Source organism: Homo sapiens, chromosome 1 (genome assembly GCF_000001405.40).
Source record: "Homo sapiens chromosome 1, GRCh38.p14 Primary Assembly".
NCBI lineage: Eukaryota > Metazoa > Chordata > Mammalia > Primates > Hominidae > Homo > Homo sapiens.
This window is the reverse complement of record NC_000001.11, coordinates 171,161,790-171,182,365: the sequence shown is the minus strand read 5'-3', so window position 1 is coordinate 171,182,365 and position 20,576 is coordinate 171,161,790. Positions and strand designations below refer to the sequence as shown.

Here is a 20,576-nt window from a genome sequence, read left to right as displayed (position 1 = left end):
GTGAGTTGTTTTGTATAGTAGTGAACTCCCTATCACTGTAAATATCAAACAAAGGTTAGATGACCACTTGTTAGTGGATAAGAGAGGAATTCAGGCAGCATGTGAAAGAGGAGTAATGTCACTAACTGCAAGAGTCTAGGGTCTGAGATGTGAAATCTTATCATCAATTAAAGTTTTAAGATAGGCATAAAAATGCTGAGAAGTATTTGGATTTGAAAATACTCCGGTTACTATAGGAGAATAAGAGGGTGTTGGCCCCCTTCACCCCTCTACATGGTTAGGGGCCCCATAGTCACCCCCTCTGAACCATTCTTGGATGAGTCCAAGCTCCCTTAATTGTGTATATTATCATAAGAACAATATACATATCAGCCCTGGTATCTCCTCCTTCATTTTTAACTTTCTGTTACATATTTCAACAGAAAACTCCTTAAAACCACATGGTACTTTTTGAGAAGCACAGAGTTGTGAGGACAAGTTCTCTCATTAAGTTGCCTTACACCTTAGAGAAATAACAAACCAACAAGTTCTCTCATTAAGTTGCCTTACACCTTAGAGAAATAACAAACCAACAAGTTCTCTCATTAAGTTGCCTTATACCTTAGAGAAATAACAACCAAACTGGTTTTCTCTTCCCTCGCCTATGACTCAATTTTTTTTTTGTATGAACCCATCTGCATTTCCTGTGTGACATATATAGTTCCATAACTTCTGTGTGTCCTCTATATTTTTGGGGGCAGTTCTTTTTAAAAATAATCCCTCCAAAGCTTCTGAATCAAGAGTGGACTGAGCAAGCACATTTGCTAACCCTTTCAAAAATCTCATTAAAGTGGTAAGAAAGTTATACAAAAGAACTAAATCCATGACAGCCCTGAGAAAGGGAAGTGTTCTGTGCATCAGATTTTTAAAAAGCAGTTTTGTAATGTAATTCATATACTATAAACTACATCAATTTGAAATGTAAAATTCAATGGTTTGGAGTATATTCACAGGTTGTACAATTATCACCACAATCAACATTAGAACATTTTCATCACGACCCCCTCCCCCGAAAAATCTCCTGTATCTGTCAGCAGTCTCTTTCTATTTTGCTTCAAGCTCCCCTCACTCCCAGCCCTTGGCAACTACCAATTTATTTTCCATTTCTATAGATTTGCCTATTCTGAAATTGTATATAAATGAAATCATACAATTTTTTAAAGACTGGATTATCTCACTTAGTGTAACATTTCCAAGGTTCACACATAGTACAGTATGTATCAGTGGTTCCTTCTGTTTTTATTGTTCAATAGTATTTTATTGTATGAATATCATATTTTATTCATCTAGTCATCAGTTGATAGACATTTGGGTTGTTTCTACTTTCTGGCTGTCATGAATAATGCTTCTATCTAAATTCTATCTAAATTCATATGCAAGTTTTTGTATGGACATATGTTTTCATTTATCTTGGGTATATGTTTAGCGGGATTGCTGGGTCATATGGTAATTCTATCTTTGGCATTTTGAGTAACTGCCAAACTGTTTATAAAGCACATTTAACATTTTTTATTCTCACCAGCAATGTAGGAGGGATCCAATTTCTTCATATCCTCTCCAACTCTTCTTTTCGGTTATACCCCTTCTAGTGGATGTGAGGTGGTATCTCATTGTGGTTTTGTTTACATTTTCCTATTATTTACCATCTGGCTAATGATACTGACCATCTTTTAATATACCTGTTGGCCATTTGTATATCTTCTTTGGAGAAATGTGTATTTAGATCCTTTGCCCATTTCGTCTTCCTATTGAGCTGTGAGAATTCTTTATATATTCTAGATACAATTCTCTTATCAGATAAATGATTTGCAAATATTTTCTGTTTTTCGAGGCATTGTCTTTTAACTTTCTTGATGGTTTCCTCTGAAGTACAAAAGTTTTAATTTTGATAAAGTACATTTTATTGTTTTTATTTTGTTTGTGCTTTTGGTATCATATCTAAGAAGTCTTTACCAACCCGTGGACTAGATATCAACGATGTTTCTGAAACATGGAATTTGCATGGGAGCATCTTGACAAACCAGAGGAGAAACCGTGCCCCAGAATGGATGAGAGAAGCCTGGAGCAGAGATGGGAGGTTTTCTTATCAGTAGAAACTGTGAGAGGCTCCATAACCCCTACCATTTATGTAGTACTTATTATTTACCAGGCACTAAGTTTTACGTAGATTAAGTTGCTTGTTATCACAATCTTGTGAAAAGTAAATCTTGTTAGCTGCATTTTTTGAGTGAGAAAGTTGATACCCAGAATAATTAAGTAAAATGCTGAAAACACAAGAAGGAGGGTTTTAAATCTAGGCCATCTATGCACTACATGCTCTTAATCACCGTTGGAAGAGGAGTAGGTTGTGGGATGTTAATCCAAGTAATTAAATAAATGAGAGCTTATGTAACAGCCGGGATTATTTTTCTTCCTTCATGCTTCCACCCATCACCTCCCAGCATGGGGATTGGGAGCAGGAGTATTTGCCTCCAGAATTAGTTCTAATTAACAGAGGAAAATTCAAAGTCCTATGTATGAATCAAGACATTATATTATTACAACAATTTATTGAGGCATATGCATTGTTCAGCTTGCTTTTTTGCTCATTGTTTTTGTGAGATCTATTTTCTAATTTAAGCAACTTTATTTTATTCTTATTATGTGAAAAACTCATATAGATATATTAGAATTCATTTAGCTCTTTCCCATTGATATTTATATTCTCTCCATTTTTTCTAATACAAACAATACAAAAACATTCTCGTGCTTGTTTACTTGTACACCCATTCAAGAGTTTCTCCAGAGTACATGCCCAGCTGTGGAATGGCTAGGTTGTTGAATATGCATATTTTCAACATTACTAGATGGTGATAAATTGTTCTTTAAAATGTTAGTACCAATTTATGCTCCCTGCAACAGTGAAGGATTCTTTTTGTTCCTCATTCTATCTGATACATGATATCGTCAGACTTTTATAATTTATTTGCTGATTTTAAGATGTGAAAATATATTTTATTGTGGTTTTAAGTTGCATTTCCTTGATTACTAGTAAATGCTATGAATTAAGAAAAACTTGGAGATAGCAGTACAATCAGAGAGTAACTTAACAGTTGATACAATAATTGGTAGAATGGCTTCTGTCTCTCTCTCTTTTTTTTTTTTTTTTTTTTTTTGGAGACAAGACTCACTCTGTCACCTAGGCTGGAGTGCAGTGGAGCCATCACAACTTATTGCAGCCTTGACTTCCTAGGCTCAAGTGATCCTCCAACCTCAGCTTCCTCAGTAGCTAGGACCACAGGCACATGCCACCCTGCCTGGCTAATTAAAAAAAAATTATTTGTAGATACAAGGTCTCCCCATGTTGCCCAGGCTGGTCTTGAACTCCTGGTCTCAAGCAACCCTCTGCGTCAGTGTTGGGATTACAGGCGTGAGTCACTGTGCCTGGGCAGAGTTGCTTCTTTTTTTTTTTTTTTTTTTTTTTTGAGTCGGAGTCTTGCTCTGTTGCCCAGGCTGGAGTGCAAAGGCATGAACTCAGCTTACTGCAACCTTGGCCTCCCAGGTTCAAATAATTCTCCTGCCTCAGCCTCCTGAGTAGCTGGAATTACAGGCACATGCCACCACTCCCAGCTAATTTTTGTATTTTTAGTAGAGGCGGGTTTCACCATGTAGGCCAGGCTGGTCTCAAACTCCTGACCTCAGGTGATCCACCTGCCTCGGTCTTCCAAAGTGCTGGGATTACAGGCATGAGCCATGGTGCCCAGCCTAGAATTGGCTTCTCTTATAGCCCATATACTTAAATTAGACCTTAGAGTCTCTCACCAACTTTTTGCTTAGCTTCTAGGAGGCACTAACCTTGAAGCGAAGGCCAAATTGCCTGCAAAACGCAGAGACCAAGTTCACCAATGTCCACCTCATGTACTGCCTGAGGATTATCCCATTCTCCATTCAGCTGATAATGAGAATTTAATATTCTTCAGGGAAAATCCATTCTCATAAAGAATATCTTTGGTCTGTATGGTCAGGGCAGAACATAATAATAGGTTAATAGGATGAGAATATAATAGAATAACAGTACACCAGGCACAGTGGCTCATGCCTGTAATTCCAGCAGTTTGGGAGGCTTAGGCAGGAGAATTGCTTGAGTTCAGGAGTTTGAGACCACCCTGGGCAACATAGTGAGACCCCATCTCTACAAAACAAAGTGAAGCAAAACAAAAAACTGGTAGACTGTTAGAATGACAGTAGAGATATCCCAAAGTTGGAGTTAGAAAGCCTCAACACCATGTGGGTGACTCCAACAGTTGGGGCATATTGTGCTGCCAAGGCCAATATCATTCTACCCCATTCTTCTCTCAGAGGACTTCCTGCATATTTCTTTAGCTGTGCTCTCAATTCTACTTTAGTATCCTGGAAGTTAAATTATAAGTAAACACAAACTCACAGAAGTTACTCAAAAACTGGTGTTAAGCATACATTGGTCTAGCTCCAGATTTATGAGAAAATAGAAAAACAAGGCTAAACATTTTACTGGGTCTTCATGATTATAGTTTTGCTAAAACACTCAATTTTTATTCCTTAAAATATTTGCTTTTTACAAATACAGTTGAATGTGTGTGAACTGGTTCATGTGTAAGGTTATTCACTGAAGCCAAATAAGATTGAAAATTTTGGGACTTAGAAACCAATACCCCAAAATATGGCACTTTAACATGCTGAACTGAAGAAGACGACTCAGGATCTCTCTGACCTTCCCTTTCTTCCTGTATCTCAATCCTCTGTATCCCCCAAAGCTCTCCCAAAAAACAGGGTGAAGTTGTTCTCTGCAGTTCCCTTATTTGCCTAAAGTCTAGACTTGCCAAAGAAGAAATCAATTACCTTTGGTACCTTCCCTGAGTTTTCATTAACTGAACTCATACTGCAGGAAGAAAGAATTCTGTCAACACACCTAGACAGACTTGTCATAAGCCATTGTTTGCGCTGCGGGCCCAACATACTTTATTCCAGGCCATTGTATGTTCTTCAAGCCCGTTGGGTCCCCTAGAGATCATTTCATAGTCACCCTAAAATCAATCCACACTTTCTCATCTCCCTGTCACCTAAGGAAGGGATATATAAGCATCCGTACCCCATTGCATGCTGGGATAATCATGTGATTTTTACCCCAACTCCTGTGGAAGTTAATAAATTTGTGTACATTTTCTTCTATCAATATGCCTTTTGTCAGTAGATTTTTAGCAAATCTTCAGAGAGCAGAGGGGAATTTTCCATCAACGCTCCAAAAACTAACAAAATGTCCATCAATAGAATATTGGTTCCATATCTTATGGTACATCTCTATGATTGAATAACATGTAGCTTTGAAAAGAATGACACAGCTCTCTATATATTAGTTGTCAAGGTATATTATTAAATAAGTAAGATACAGAACAGCATATACACAATGCTATGCTTTGTGTAAAAAGGAAAATACAATTTATTTTTCTCATATCTGCATAAATCTGAAAAATATTCAAGAAATTAGTAAGAGTGGACACTTGAGAGGATCAGGGGGTGGGAACTGAAAAGAAGAAGGCAGTGTTTAGGCAGATAGAGGCTGGGAGTGAACGTAAGATTTTTTTCACTTAAATTTTTTTTTGAATCATGAGAACATATAACTTAAAACAATAGCACAAACACAACACTTATTGTTAGCCCATGATCAATAAAGCATCGACATTTGGGTTGATTCTCTGATTTCAGGCTTGCCTAAGTAAAATGTCTGAGCACTTGTCTTACATGGTCATTAATGAAATGATAGAGGAAGGAACAAAGGGAAGATATGCCCAAAAGGCAAATCACAGTTCCCCACTCAGGAAGACACACACTAATTGTGCTTGTCAAAATAAAAGTTTTTCAATTTCAGAACATTCTAAGTTCTAGTCTTCACAAAACACTTGTTACAAATAAATGCTCATGATTAATCATCTAACTTAGAATGCCCTGCCTCCATCTCCATCTATCAAATTTCACCCATTTTTTCTGATTACCCCAGCCAGGAGTTAAAGCTCACTGTTGCTACTATTGAAATGTAACCTACAGAAATTCCTCTTATGTGCTGTACCTCTTGGACTTCTTTACGACACTTATCAACTCCAGTTTCTTCTATCAATTTAGTTTGTCTCAAATTTGTCCTCTTATCTCTATTTTTCCTGCTACTATCATGGTTCAGATACTCACCACTTCTTACTAGAAGTCTTGATTGTCTCCTCCCTCTCAGTCTTGACCCACCACCACCTTCCCACTCCAACCACTTCTAGCTCTCCCCCTACCAATTCATTCTTTACACTACAGCTGAAATTGAGAGAACTTCAGATTAAATATGGTGGACTGAAGACACATTTTCCTCTGCTTCCACTTGAAATCCCACGAAAGAGTATTTTAAAAGGCATAAACTTAGAGGATAAATGAAGTAAGAGATTGAGATTACAGTGAGAAGAAATGTCAACACACTATTTGAAGATGAGAAGTGAGTTGATGAATTATCAGAAAAGAGAATGCTAACACCAAGGGCTTGCGAATGGGATGCTAACATGAAAAAAGTGAATGCATGCCAGATGATTTTAAGATAGCTTAGTGAGTGATTGGAGGCATCAGGAACTGCAAAGATGTTGGTAATGGGACATGACAGAGGAATTCGTTGAAAGTCTTTTTATGAAATGGATATTTCTCATCCTCATTCTGCAAACAACTATGAGACTGACCTTCCTTCATCCTGGATGGAGACTGGAGGTTTGATCTTTGTGGAAATTGAACTGGTAAAGTTCCAGACCTGATAATATAAAAAGGACTCAAAACCAGGGCAATTCACCAAGAAATTTCAGAACCCCAGAGATAGAGATTCCACAACCTTTCAGAAAAGGAAATACAAGTCGCATATAAAGGACAGGAAGTAGAATGAACAATGGGCTTTTAACAATATTGAAGCTCGAAGGCAATGGGGCAATGACTTTAAAAGTCTAAGGTAGTATCATTTTCAGCTTATACTTTTACATTTAGCTGAATTACTAATAAAGTGTGAGCATGGAAGTAATATATTTCAGTTACAGAAGAGGTATGACACATACTGTTTATTGGTTACCCAAAAGTTTCCAAGTTCATTTTTCTCTTTTTACCTTCCACTATAGGCTGGGAAAAATTATTTATCGTTATTTCAGATGCCCTTGTACTTAGAAGTCACCATGCAATCTCCACTCTGACCAGTGAGGTATAAACAGAATTCTCCCAGTGGATCTCTAGAAAACCTTTTGATTCCTTCCTCCCTATCTCCCCTCCCCTCTCCTCCCCATCTCCCCTCCCCTCTCCTCCCCCTCCCTCCCTCCCTCCATCCTTCCCTCCCTCCCTCCCTCCCTCCCTCCCTCCTTCCCTCCTTCCTTCCTTCCTTCCTTCCTTCCTTCCTTCCTTCCTTCCTTCCTTCCTTCCTTCCTTCCTTCTTTTCTTGTTTTCATCTCTCTCTCCTATCTCTCTGGACATAGCTTATCTTTATCTTATTTGTTTTTATGAAATTAGGATATTTTACCAGATTCCTTATTTAGTGGTGCCCTCTTCTGAAAAAGTAGAAAAGTTCAGATATTTAACAGTTTTCCTTTTGTTTGTTTGTTTTAATGATGATGATTGGGGAAGGGTTTTGAATCCTCCAATTTTATGGTTCTTTTTTTGTCTTATAGGACCCTAATTTTTTTCTTCCTTTTTTTCTTCTTTCTCCCTTCACTGCCAAATTGCCACAGGGCTTGTCTTCCTTCTTTTTGCCTTTTCTTTTCTCACTCAGAGCTATGCATTTCAAAGACCAACTTTTAAAATGTAGTCTCTCCTTTTAAATCTCACCTGTCTCTTTATATTGCATCAATCCTTTTCAATGGTGCCTGGTCCTTTAAATAGCTAGTATTTGAAATTACTTTCTAGTAGCCAGTACTCTGACTTGCTTACATGCTTTTTTACTGTTTCTAATGTAAACTAGTTTTATTTTATGATACTTTTTGAATTTACTGTAAAGAGACTCCAGTATGGCCAACATGGCGAAACCCCGTTTCTACTAAAAATACAAGAATTATTCAGGTGTGGTGGCTCATGCCTATAATCCCAGCATTTTGGGAGGCTGAGGCAGGAGGATCACTTGAGGCCAGGAGTTCAAGACCAGCCTGGCCCACATGGTGAAACACTGTCTCTACTAAAAATATAAAATTTTGCCCGGTGTGGTGATGTGCGCCTGTAGTCCTAGCTACTTGGGAGGCTGAGGCAGGAGAATCGCTTGAACCTGGGAGGTGGAGGTTGCAGTGAGCTGAGATTGCACCACTACACTCCAGCCTGGGCAACCGAGCAAGAGTCTATCTCAAACAAACAAACAAAATGTAAAGAGACTGACTAGTATTTACCTTTTAGGATGTCAGTGAAAATTAGTGAAAGCTTTGAATAATGATTTATTTAAAAATAAATGCAGTATGATTACTTTCAGGTGTGGTGAGGACCTTCGGGAGCACTTTCTTTGCAAAGAAGTAATTATTTATAATTGTTATATTTCTTAATTGTACGGATTTTATGTTAAAATAGTACCAGATTGCATTTTGTTTTCTTCAGTAGTCTAAGTTCCCCCATCAAAATATTGTTCACTTAATTTATTTACTCTGCAAACTTAAAAACAGAAGTTATAGTTAGCAGAAGTAAATTTTAGCTCAAACTATACCCATGACATTATGAATTTTACATAGAAATTTACTGAGACTTATAAGGAGTTAGTGTGTTTATACAGCTTCCTAGAGAGGGAGATGCTAAATTTCTCTTTATCACTCATTCTTTTAGCTGTCCTCACTACCAGGAAGTTCTTTACTGTGTTTAATCAAATCCTTTAAATCACATGAACAACTATTAAAACAAATTAAAAGTGGGCCCAAGGAGGCCTATGTGTGAGTTCCTAAATGCAGCCCAACTCAGCACTTAAACAAACTGAAAACCTAACTTAGGAACAGAATCTCAGCCAATCACAGATGGCCAATTCTTCAAACCATGTTCAAATAAGACAGATGTGAACTATAACCAATTGGGCTATCTCTGTACCTCAGTGCAGTTTTCTGTATGTCACTTCCTTTTCTCTAGTTACAAATATAACCTACACATTTGGTGGGGTGGAACATTCTGAGCCATTTTTGGACTGAACTGCTGCTCAATTCTAAAGTCACAAATAAAGGCCAATTAACGCCTGCAAAACTAGATTTGTTGTAATTTTGTCTTTTAACACAACACATTTCCAATATGACTAATGTTTAGGAAAACAAACAACTTGAATTTTTGCTGGCTTCTCTGCAGATACATTCATAACTTTAATCCTACTATATTTTGTGTGATTTAAAATTATGTTGTTTAATTTTATAAGTCAAAGATAATTTCCGGTCTATTTTAAAATATTTATATACTAGGATTGTAGCTCATATTCTATGAGAATATGTTATGGATAGAAGACTTTTTTTCCATAGTAACTGGAGGCAGGGTGGTAGGTGGAGGTGGTAAAGCCAGTAAATTGGTGTGATATCTGAATGGGGTGCTATTTTTAAAGAAATGATGAGTGTATGGATTTATTTAGTAAATATTTATTGAGTACATATTGTGTGCCAGGTATTGCACATACTTGAACTACTGAACAAGTTCTTGCCCAGTGAAAGTCTTTCAAGAACATACTTTCAAAAGTACGTAATAGTTTATAACTAGTACATTAATTGTGGGAATGTGATTGCTTCCACGGTATTTAAAATATTTTGTGTTGTATAATAGTTTAAGCTTTCTCTTACAATTTTGTTTATAGTGCTAAGTGTTCATGAAATATCCCTTTTATAGATAAAATAAAGGGACACTTCAGCCATGTTCTTGTCAAAATTGTCATAAGTTCTGAATTATTGAAATCAGGCCTAGATTGTTGCAGTGGCTTTTCAACTGGTGTTCTTGTTTGTAGTCTTTCCCATTTATAATAAATTCTCTGCCTTGAAGGTAAAAGTATTTTCCTATACTGTTAAATCAATTTTTGCTACTTCCCTGCTTAAACACCCCATTGGTTTCCTATTTAAACATTGTTTTGAGTCATTTAATGAGCTGTAGGTGAAGAAACACGATTTTCTCTCTACCCTGCATGAGTTCTTAGTTGGGACAGACCTTTGTAATAAAAGATTAATAAGAGAAAAACAGAAGTTTAATTACATGTATATCTTATCTATACATTTTCAGGGAAAAATGAGTTCTCTGGAGTAGATCTGAAACAGGTGGCTTTGACTTCGAGCTTAAATACCATGGTTCCCTGATACAAAGAAGTATGTGAGAGAGACTCAGTTATGACAAGAAAAAAATTATGCCAAGAAAGGCCTGTTAAACAAGAACAAGGTTTATTATGCAGATTTTTGCTGATGACTTTTCCACTGATAAGAATTTCTAATGATTAAGTAATCCTTCTCTTCCTGGTACAGAGAGGGAGATACCCTTACAAATGAAGATTTCCTTTATAGATATAAATTTTCCTTACAAAAGAATAACTTCTGTTTTCAAAGCTTCTCTTGTGTCTGCTGTTTCTCAAAATAATCAACTTTAAATAATTTTTGTGCCAAAGAGGCATTCTTAAGGTGGCATAGTCTGGTCTCCTACAGTTATACTGGGGTGGTACATCCTGAATTTCCTCAATATTTTATAAATATTTTGAAGCAATCACATTTTTGTTGTGTGTAACACATTTATAAAACAAAACCATTATAATATGTATGAGCGAAACGGAGTCTGATCAACAACAAGCTTTGTCACAACCAGATATTTAAGAGGAATGCAAATACCTGTTATTCTGCATATGTTAAAAGTTTTGAGATAGGGGTATAGAATTATAATCTATCCAGAGAAGAGATGTGGGAAAAATCTCCAAATTTTAGAATAAAATCCAGTTTTCTAAATATAGTTTTCTTGGCTCTAACTGTAGAGAAAGCAAAATAACTGACTTTTTCTTCTTTTCTACAACCTCTTTCTGATTGCAGATGCTTCTTTATGGCTTCTTTTACCTTTCAAGCCTGTACTGGATGTACCTGTCACAGGACAAACAATTATGACACATGAGGAAAAGTAGTTGTGTGGACTATTCCCAGATATTTTCAAAGGATAATCCTTTGTTAACTGAGATAACAGATGTTAGGGTACTGAGTTGGAAAAGCCAGAGATAACTGAATTGTTCTAATGAGAAAACAGTGGAAGCTTGGTGGTGATGGGATTGAGGATACATTGTTTCAAAATATGACAGCTTGGCATTTGAGAAAACAGCACAAGCAGAAAGTACTCCTTGACTTTCTTGCTGTCTTTCTTCCCTGAAATAGGCCATAAAATAATTCTTTGACTTTGCTCTGAATAGGCAGTTAGTTTGGAATCAAGGATGGAGAAGCTCTGGGGAGGAAGGGTTGATAAAAGGGTGGGGGTGACAAGTCATCTGAGAAGAACCTTGAGAGGAAACAGAGATCTAATGAGGATTTTTTATTAATGTTTTTGTTGTCAGGTGTATTCTTTTGTCTTCCTATAGAAAAATTGGAATGATTTGCTAAAATTTCATAGAATTGGATGTACTTTTAGGGAATAGCCGAGTCTTACTTTAAAGTGGGAACAAGAACAGGTTGTCAACAGGAGTAACTTATTTACTTTAAGCCCAATGTATTTCATGTTCAAATCTGAGTGTGTGTGTACGTTCATGTGCATGTCCACGAGTGCGTGTGCGTACATGCTCACATAGGGATGAATTCAGGAAGACTATAGATATCTTGTGGTTTGACCTTGCCTCTTCTATTCCCATAGATGTGTCTATTTTCAGATCTTGGTGACCTAATAACTACAAATAGCTAAGGAGACAGAGACAATAAAGGTTATTTGTAAGATTTTAAGCTTGGTGGATCATGATATACTAGTGTCAGTTGAAGAATGACAAGGTTCATAAATTTGTGAAGGAGAGCTTTATTTCTCATAAATGATTATAGCCTGAAGGGTGGCCCTTCTGATGAGCTGGGAAGCATGGCCTCTGGCCAGAAGCTGGAAGCAGGCACTTTTGGGGGGGAGGGGTGTGGAGGTGGGGCAAAGGGAACATGAATTTATGTTGAGCAGGGTGGCTAAATATGCAAATTCAATATGCTATAGGAGGAATCATGAGTATTTATGAAATGAGAAACATTTATGTGCACATCTGAGCTTCATCTTCCTTCACGGGACCCATGTTCAAAAAATGGCAGGATTAGCATGACCCAAGGGTGGTGTTTTTGGCCCTCTGATGTCAAAAGGTGAAGCAGAGGACACAAAATCCTCACTGTGCATTCTCTGCAGACTGGCCAGAACCACTCCGTGGTCATCAGTGATCTCTTATCAGTCAGGCAGTTGGTTGAAATCAGGCATGGAATCTTTTGAAAGGGCTGGTTTCTACACACACACACACACACACACACACACACACACACACACACACACACACGAATATTATTCAGCCTTAGAAAGGAAGGAGATCCTGCCATTTGCAACATGATGATCCTAGAGGACATTACGCTAAGTGAAATAAGCCACAGGAAAAAAAAAGTATTCCACATCTTTCTTATATGCAGCATCTTAAAAATGCTGAATACACATAAACAGAGTAGAAAGGTGGTTACCAGAGGTAGGGGGAGATCAGGAGATGTAGATAAAAAGAAACAAAGTTGCAGTTTTGTCAGATGAATAAATCTAGAGGTCTGATATGCAGCATGTGGACTATAGTTAATAGTGTTGCTGATACAGGATTATTCTGTCACTTTTGCCAGCTGGAAGTGTCTGGCTGGCGATGCCCCAAACTGGGCCTTGCTCAGCCCCAGGCCTGCTGCAGGAGGTACTCTGCCCATTTGCACACTAGCTCACCCCATGACTGGCCCAGGAGTGCCCCAGCCCACCTGTGTTACAGCTCATACCTATGTTCAGCAATTCTTGTGTTCTTGTCCTGAATCCAAGAGAAGTGAGGTTACACTGACAATTGAAGGGTGAGAAGGGCAGAGAAGAGCTTTATTAAGTGACAGAACAGCTCTCAGCAAAGAGGGGCCATGAGGGTGATCCACCACATGAAGTTGGGTGGTCTCCCCTTCAGTGTGGCTGGGTCCGGGGCTTTTATGGGCTCAGAATGGGGGAGTGGTGATTGGTTTGTGAGTACGCAGAAAAGGTTAAAACAAAGGCACAACTCAGTGGGCATGGCAGTGTAAAAAACCAATTAGGGAAGGGTAGGTATATATAAAATAGGTGAAGGGTAGGGATCATTCAGAGGAAAGTGCACCAAATGGGAAGAGAGGTTCTCAATCCAGTCTGTGGATTTGACTTGTAGCTTGGCTTTCAGGCTTTAAACTGTCTTTGGCTTGAAGGTGGGGTTTCACCAGGGACCTGCCCCTGTCTGCCTAGGCATTTGCCTGCCTCTTGCGGATATCATTGTATTGTATACTAGAAATTTGCTAAGAGAGTAGATTTTTGGTGCTCTTACCATACACACACACACCAATTAGGGAAGGGTGAGATGATGGATATATTAATTGCCTTGACTGTAGTAATCATTTCAACATGTATATGTAAGGATAGGTATGGGCAAAGAGGAATGAAGACAATGGTCCCCAGGAAAAGCCACTGTGCAGAAAGAATAAAGATAAATAACAAAGAGCAGGAGTTGCCCAAGGCTATGGTGGTAGAGATGTGTGTGGGGTGATGGAAGGTATCTGTGACCAGGGGAACAGCAGGAATTGGAGCAAAGAGGTGAGGATCATTATGGTATGAGTTTAGGAAATATCACCAGTCCAATACTACCAGAGTATTAAGAGGGAGCAAGGAAGAGGTAAAAATGAGAAAGAGTAGAGCCAGATGGTAGAGGGCCTCATTTGCTCTTGAGCTTGGGCATTATCCAAAAGGTGATGAGAAGCCTTTGAAGGATTTTGAGCAGGGCGTGCTATGGCCAGACTTGCAGCAGAGTTGAGGATAGATGGGGAAGTGGCAGGACATTATCACAACCTATGGTCCTCTCTTTCCAGATCTCAGCATTGATCTGGGTGATGCATTATGAAAAAATTACATGCATTACCTGGGGACTTTTGCGATTCCATTATTCTTCCCTTTCTCATGTACAGGGCAAAGCGGCTGAGATCTTTGAACTCCCTTTGAACTTTGAGAATGGTGACTGGAAGATGACAATTCATGTTGTTTTCAGGAAAGGTAAGGAGAAGTTCACAACCTGCGCTCAACCTTTTGTTGGCTTATCCACAACTGTGTATTCTGGTAAAGTGCATTCTAATTAGTATATACCTCATTAGTCACAGCCCTCTCTGGCAATAGCACAATTAATATTGTTATATAATGCACAAACACAGTCATCTGAACACAGGGAGTGGTAACATGACACACAGGACCAAGTAGTGTCATTGAGAAAGCAGAAAAATATTTTGCAGTTGAGACTAAAATTCATACACAAAATCTTTCATTTTTCTCTTGTCTTCACAAGGTTCACCAATCAGGCATCTTGTAGGTGCTTTCTAGACTAAATGGTACCTATTTAAAAAATTATTTTCTTACATATAAAACTAGTCATGTATGAAAATGTCTTCAATGAAAAAACTCAAACAATGCGAAAGTATGTAGAAACAAAAGTGCGGTTCCTACTCCTTCCTCCCATTTCCAGCCCCAGTCTAATCTTCAGAGAAAACTACTGATGACAATTGGCTTTCAGACATTTCCTTCTGTGTAAAAATAACATTTATATACACAGATACTAGACTTTACATAAATGAAGAAATATTGTTTACTTTGTTACTTGCTTTTTTCATTAAACAATATATTTTGAAAAGAGTTCCATGTCAGTATATATACGTTGATCTCCTATATTTTACTGTATGTTATTTTATACTATTATAGATATTTGAATTGTTTCCAGGTTTTCATGATTATAAACGAGACTGCAATGATTTTCCTTGTTCATCCATCTTTGTGCTTTAATGCAAAAATATCCATATAACAGATTCCTACAAATAATTATTCCTTTTTAAATATTCTAATAAGTTATGAAGACTCCTGTTTGGAATCAGTTCAGTGTTTTGCTTTGAGTTTTTGAGCAGGTAGCTGTGACTCCCCCATTTGAACCTCTTTCTATCTCACAGGGCTGGTGTTCGCCACTGTGAATGAATGGTGGCTGTACTGGGTAAATGCCAGAGGCAGTCAGTTATCTGAAGGCTGCTCCAGAGGGTAATGAATGAATTTTGTGTCCAAAGAGGTGTTAAAGAGGAGGCTGGATATTGTAGAAAGAACACAAGTATCAACCAAGGGTTAAATTAGGAGATCTTTAAACTCCCTCTGAACCCTGAGAATGGTGGCTGGAAGATGGCAATACATATTGTTTCCAGAGAAGGTAAGGAGAAGTGGAGGTTCTTCGGCTGAAATCTGCCCTTACTGAGTTTTCTCCAGCCCATCTAAGACCTACAAATCTTTTTTTAAAAGTTGTTGCTAAACATTAAAAATCCAGAAAATAACAGATGGAAATATCAATACAAGGCTTCTCTAAAAAGTTTAGAAAATCTGGTTGTCCTGGGCCTGCAAATATTTTTGCGGAAGTAAAGGATGATTTCTCTTTGTTTAATGTGCCAACAGAATGATTAATATGCAATCTATCTGCTTTACTCACTTATTTTTTCAGTCTAGTCTCAAAAGTATCTGGATTTGGATGTCTCATATTGGCCAAAGCCTAATGGAGCTTAAGGATTTTCTTAATACATTAAGAAGGCAGGTATAGAATATGAGTCAGTTCTTAGCTGCGAAACTCATTTGATGATTAGTTGGGTGGGGTGGTGATGAATCTGTGATATATTAGTAAACCAAATACCTGAAGATTACATTGTCTTATTTCAGAGAGGAGAAATTAACAAATGTAGTCATAAAGGCTCTGGTTATACTTCTTTTATTATAAGAAAAGGTAATCTGTGAAGCTATCTACACCTTATTAAATCTAAGGACAGGGCAGTTGAAGGCACCTAGATCACTGCAGTTCAATGTAAGATGTAAATTTTAAAGATATGCATAGAAATTTCAGCTATCATTTCCTTGTGGCTTAAATTTCAGCTATCATTTCCTTGTGGCTTCATTTTTTAATCTAATTATTCATTTTACCTTCAAGTACTTTTTACTAAAAAGCCATATTATGACACTGCATCCAGATATACAGTTGTTAATTATCAATGTATTATAATCATCAACATAATGTATAAACCAGATTGTGGTTTATATCCTTAAAGAGACTGGTATATACAGAGCAAGGTGCCATGTCTAAGGGCCTGCCTTTTGATCTGTGTAGCTGCCCTTTTCCTCTCCTGCATTCCAAACCCCTGTCTCTTAAAAAAAAAACCCTGTGTTCCTCCCACAAATTGAAGAGTGGAAATTTTGGGAAAGAATTCTGCCCACTCTTTTCCTTGCTAACACAGATGATAAAACTCACTCTTTCTCTGTCACATCTCGCTCTTGTTATGTTGGCATCTTTCTAAAAGTGGCAAGCAGCAGGACCCTTTTGCCAGTTACACATTTTGTGTTGCTATAAAGAAATACCTGAGACTGGGTAATTTATAAAGAAAAGAGGTTTATTTTGGTTCATCATTCTGCAGACAGTACAAGAAGCATGGTGCCGACATCTGCTTCTGGTGAGGCCTCAAGATGCTTGCAATCATGGCAGAAGGTGAAGGGGGAGCAGGCATGTCACATGGTGTGAAAGGGAGCACGAGAATTGAAGCAAGAGAGAGGAGAGGAGGTGCCAGTCTCTTTTAAACAACTATAATAGCTCTCGTGAACTAATAGAGTGAGAACTCACTCATTACCCTGGGGAGGGCACCAAGCCATTTATGAGAGAATCACTTCCCACAAGGCCCCACTTCCAACACTGGGGATCACATTTCAACATGAGATTTGGAGGGGACACACATCTGAGTCATAGCACCTGGCTAATTTTTTAATTTTAATTTTTTTGTAGGACAAGGTTTTGCTATGTTGCTTAGGCTGGTCTCAAACTCCTGTGCTTAAGCAATCTTTGTGCCTGGGCCTCCTAAAATGCTGGGATTCCAGGCATAAACTACTACTCTTAACCCTTTTTTAAAAATATGCTAATTTATGCTAGGATTTTAGAGGCAAAGTAAAACATTAAAAATATGGTTTCTTCTGTGTCTGATGATGCAAAACATAGTAGTTTCTTAACTGTGAGATTTGCTATTAATCTGACTGAAAAGCTGATTGTCTTTGGGAATCAACTGGTAAAAGGGTTTTATTTAGTTAGTTTATTAATGAATTTGTCTGGTATAGTCCTTACACTAGATTCAATTACAGATTGTATATACACACAAACATAGATTTCACAGATGAGCAGGCTACCCAATCAGTAGAATGAGGTGCATGAGTTAGCTTTGAGTTAGCATGCTCCCTCGCCTTTTGTCACTCCTTAACGGCTCTTTGTTCTCACTTTATTTTGCATGGTTGGTAAAGATGATGGGAAGGACCACACTTATGTCTACTTACTACACAGGACCAAATACACAGAGGTTATAAGCAACATTCCATCAAGTTTAATTTAGTGCAAATTAATATTATCCATATGATTGAATAAAATATCAAGAAGTCTGAATTACAAAAAAGTTTCTAGTTGGCTCAAATAAACTAAGTCTGAAGGGCTCAGCAGTCCATTTAGCCAACTTTCACTACAGTCTTTGTTGAGGAGAACATCCCTCTAGTACTAGGTCTGAGGAGGGAATGAGATTCTCACACCCTGAAACATGTTCCAGAAAAGAGACCCCCACTCAAAATATTATTTTTCTTGTTCTTCCCAAGTGTCTCTCTCCAAGATTCCAGATTAGTCTTCATTGGTAGTCCCCAGATTGAACAGAGGACTCAGAAATATGTGCATAGGATATTTGGAAAATCAGCTTATAATTCTTACAGACTCTTTCTGTTACACAATCTAGCATCATACTAAACACAACACAACACTAGCATGTGTGTACACATACACATGTACACAAGAATACTTTGGAGACACATCTGGTTTGAACCAATTTTGATTACTAGGATAAATTATACATATTCTAAAAACAAATTGAGATAGTTTGGTATACATTTTTCTTTTCAAGTCTGAACTTTTTCTACTATGACTTATCCATCTCTCCAATTAGACAAATTGAGTTAGAATATTCATCCTGCTTTTATTAGATACAAATAATGTGGATGTCATAAGTATCAATGTACTTACTGTATTCTTTCCTAAAGGAATATTAGAACTGTTCTTTTTTTTTATTATACTTTAAGTTTTAGGGTACATGTGCACATTGTGCAGGTTAGTTACATATGTATACATGTGTCATGCTGGTGCGCTGCACCCACTAACTCGTCATTTAGCATTAGGTATATCTCCCAATGCTATCCCTCCCCCCTCCCCCTACCCCACAACAGTCCCCAGAGTGTGATATTCCCCTTCCTGTGTCCATGTGATCTCATTGTTCAATTCCCACCTGTGAGTGAGAATATGCTAGAACTGTTCTTAATTTTGATGAAGTTCAATTTACACAATTTTAAAAATGAATATTGTGCATTTAGTATTGTATCTAAGACATTTTTGCCTAACCCAAAGATTTTCTTTTTCATTTTCTGCTAGAAGTTTTAGGGTTTTAGTTCTATAATCCTCTTTCAGTTACTTTTTGTATATAGTACAAAGTATTGACTGAAGTTTTTTTTTTTCCATATTGCATGATATCCAATGGTTCCAACATCATTTGTTGAAAAGACTCTCCTGTCTTTACTGAATTTTCACCTTTGTCCATATTGTGTGGTTCTATTTCCAGACATTCCATTCTTTTTTATTGACCTATTGTTTATCTTCACACCATAACATACTGACTTGATTACTGTAGCTTCATAAAATAAGAAATTCTGAAATCAGAAGTCAGGTAGTGTTAATGCTCCACATTTGTTTTTTCTTTTGAAATGGAGTTTGGCTCTTGTTGCCCAGACTGGAGTGCAATGGCACAATCTCGGCTCACTGCAACCTCCGCCTCAAGCGATTCTCCTGTCTCAGCCTCCCGAGTAGCTGGGATTACAGGCATGCACCACCACGTCTGGCTAATTTTGTATTTTTAGTAGAGATGGGGTTTCTCCATGTTGGCCAGGCTGGTCTCGAACTCCTGACCTCAGGTGATCCGCCTGCCTCAGCTTCCCGAAATACTGGGATTACTGGCGTGAGCCTTTGTGCCCGGCCTTTTCAAAGTTATTTTTTAACAATTCTAGGTCCTTTAAATACCTTATACATTTTAGAATCAGTTTTCAATTTCTATAAAAAAGCATGTTAGGGGGTTGATTAGTATTGCATTGAAATTATGGATCAACTTGAGGATAATTGACATCACCACAATATCGGTGGTTCAACCCAGGATATAGTGTATCTCTCCATTTATTTAGACCTTTAATTACTCTCAGCTATGTTTTTTAGCTTTCAGTGTATGGTTTTTACCTTTCTTATGCTGGCTTATCCTAAATATTTCATATTTTTGGATGTTATAAATAATAGTTTACAATTTTCTAATTTTCTACTGTTTACTGTTAGTATATAGAAATATAATTATTTGTTCTGTAATTTTTATGTAGATTTCAAAATAATTTCTGTATAGACAATTATGTTGTCTAAGAATAAAGAAAGTTCTACTTCTCCCATTCCACTTTTGATATCTTTTATTCCTCTTTTTTTTTCCTTATTGCACTGGCTAGAAACCCCAGTAGGATGTTGACTAGAAGTGGTGAGAACCAAGGCCTTTATATTGTTCCTGCTCTTAGAAATACAGCGTTTAGTTTTCCACCATTCAGTATGATATTAGCTGTAGGTTTTTCATAGATGCCCTTTTTCATGTTGAGGAAGTTTCCTTCTATCACTTTGTTGAGAGTTTTCTTCAGGAATGGATGTTGGCTTTTGTCAGATGCTTTTTATGCATCTATTGAGATGATCCTATGGTTTTTCATTTTTAGTTTACAAATGTGGTGAATTACATTGACTATTAAACCAACATTGCTTTTCCAGAATAATTCTTACTTGGTTATGCTATTCATTTTATAAACTGTTTGATTATATTAACATTTGTTAAGAATTTTTGCATATATCTTCATGAAGGATATTGATCTATATTTTATTTTTTTAGAATGTGTTTGTCTTGTTTAGGTGTCAGGGCTATGATGAGCTGAGGATTATTCTGTCCTCTTTAATCTTCTGGAAAATTTTGCATATAGTTGGTATATTGCTTTCTCAAATGTTTGACAGAATTAACCAGTGAAGACCTGGTTCTTGGCCTGTTCTTTGTGGAAGAGTTTTTAAACTACAAATTCAAGTACTTTAATAGATTTAGGTCTATTCAGGTTATATGCTTCTTCTTGGGAGAGCTTTGGCAGTATGTATCTTTCAAGCAATGTGTTCATTTTATCTTCGTTGTTGTATTGGTATAAACTTATCTCTCTATGTTGATTTA

General features: G+C 37.3%; 1 long non-coding RNA gene across 2 annotated transcripts in view; it reads left to right on the top strand.

Moving 5' to 3' along the window:
* Positions 1–20,576, top strand: part of FMO1-AS1 (FMO1 antisense RNA 1) — a 131,518-nt gene that overhangs the window by 69,524 nt on the left and 41,418 nt on the right. For both annotated transcript variants that reach the window (XR_922278.4, XR_001738291.3), the window contains exon 3: positions 14,178–14,262. This is a non-coding gene — a long non-coding RNA (FMO1 antisense RNA 1). The remainder of the gene's footprint in view (positions 1–14,177; positions 14,263–20,576) is intronic.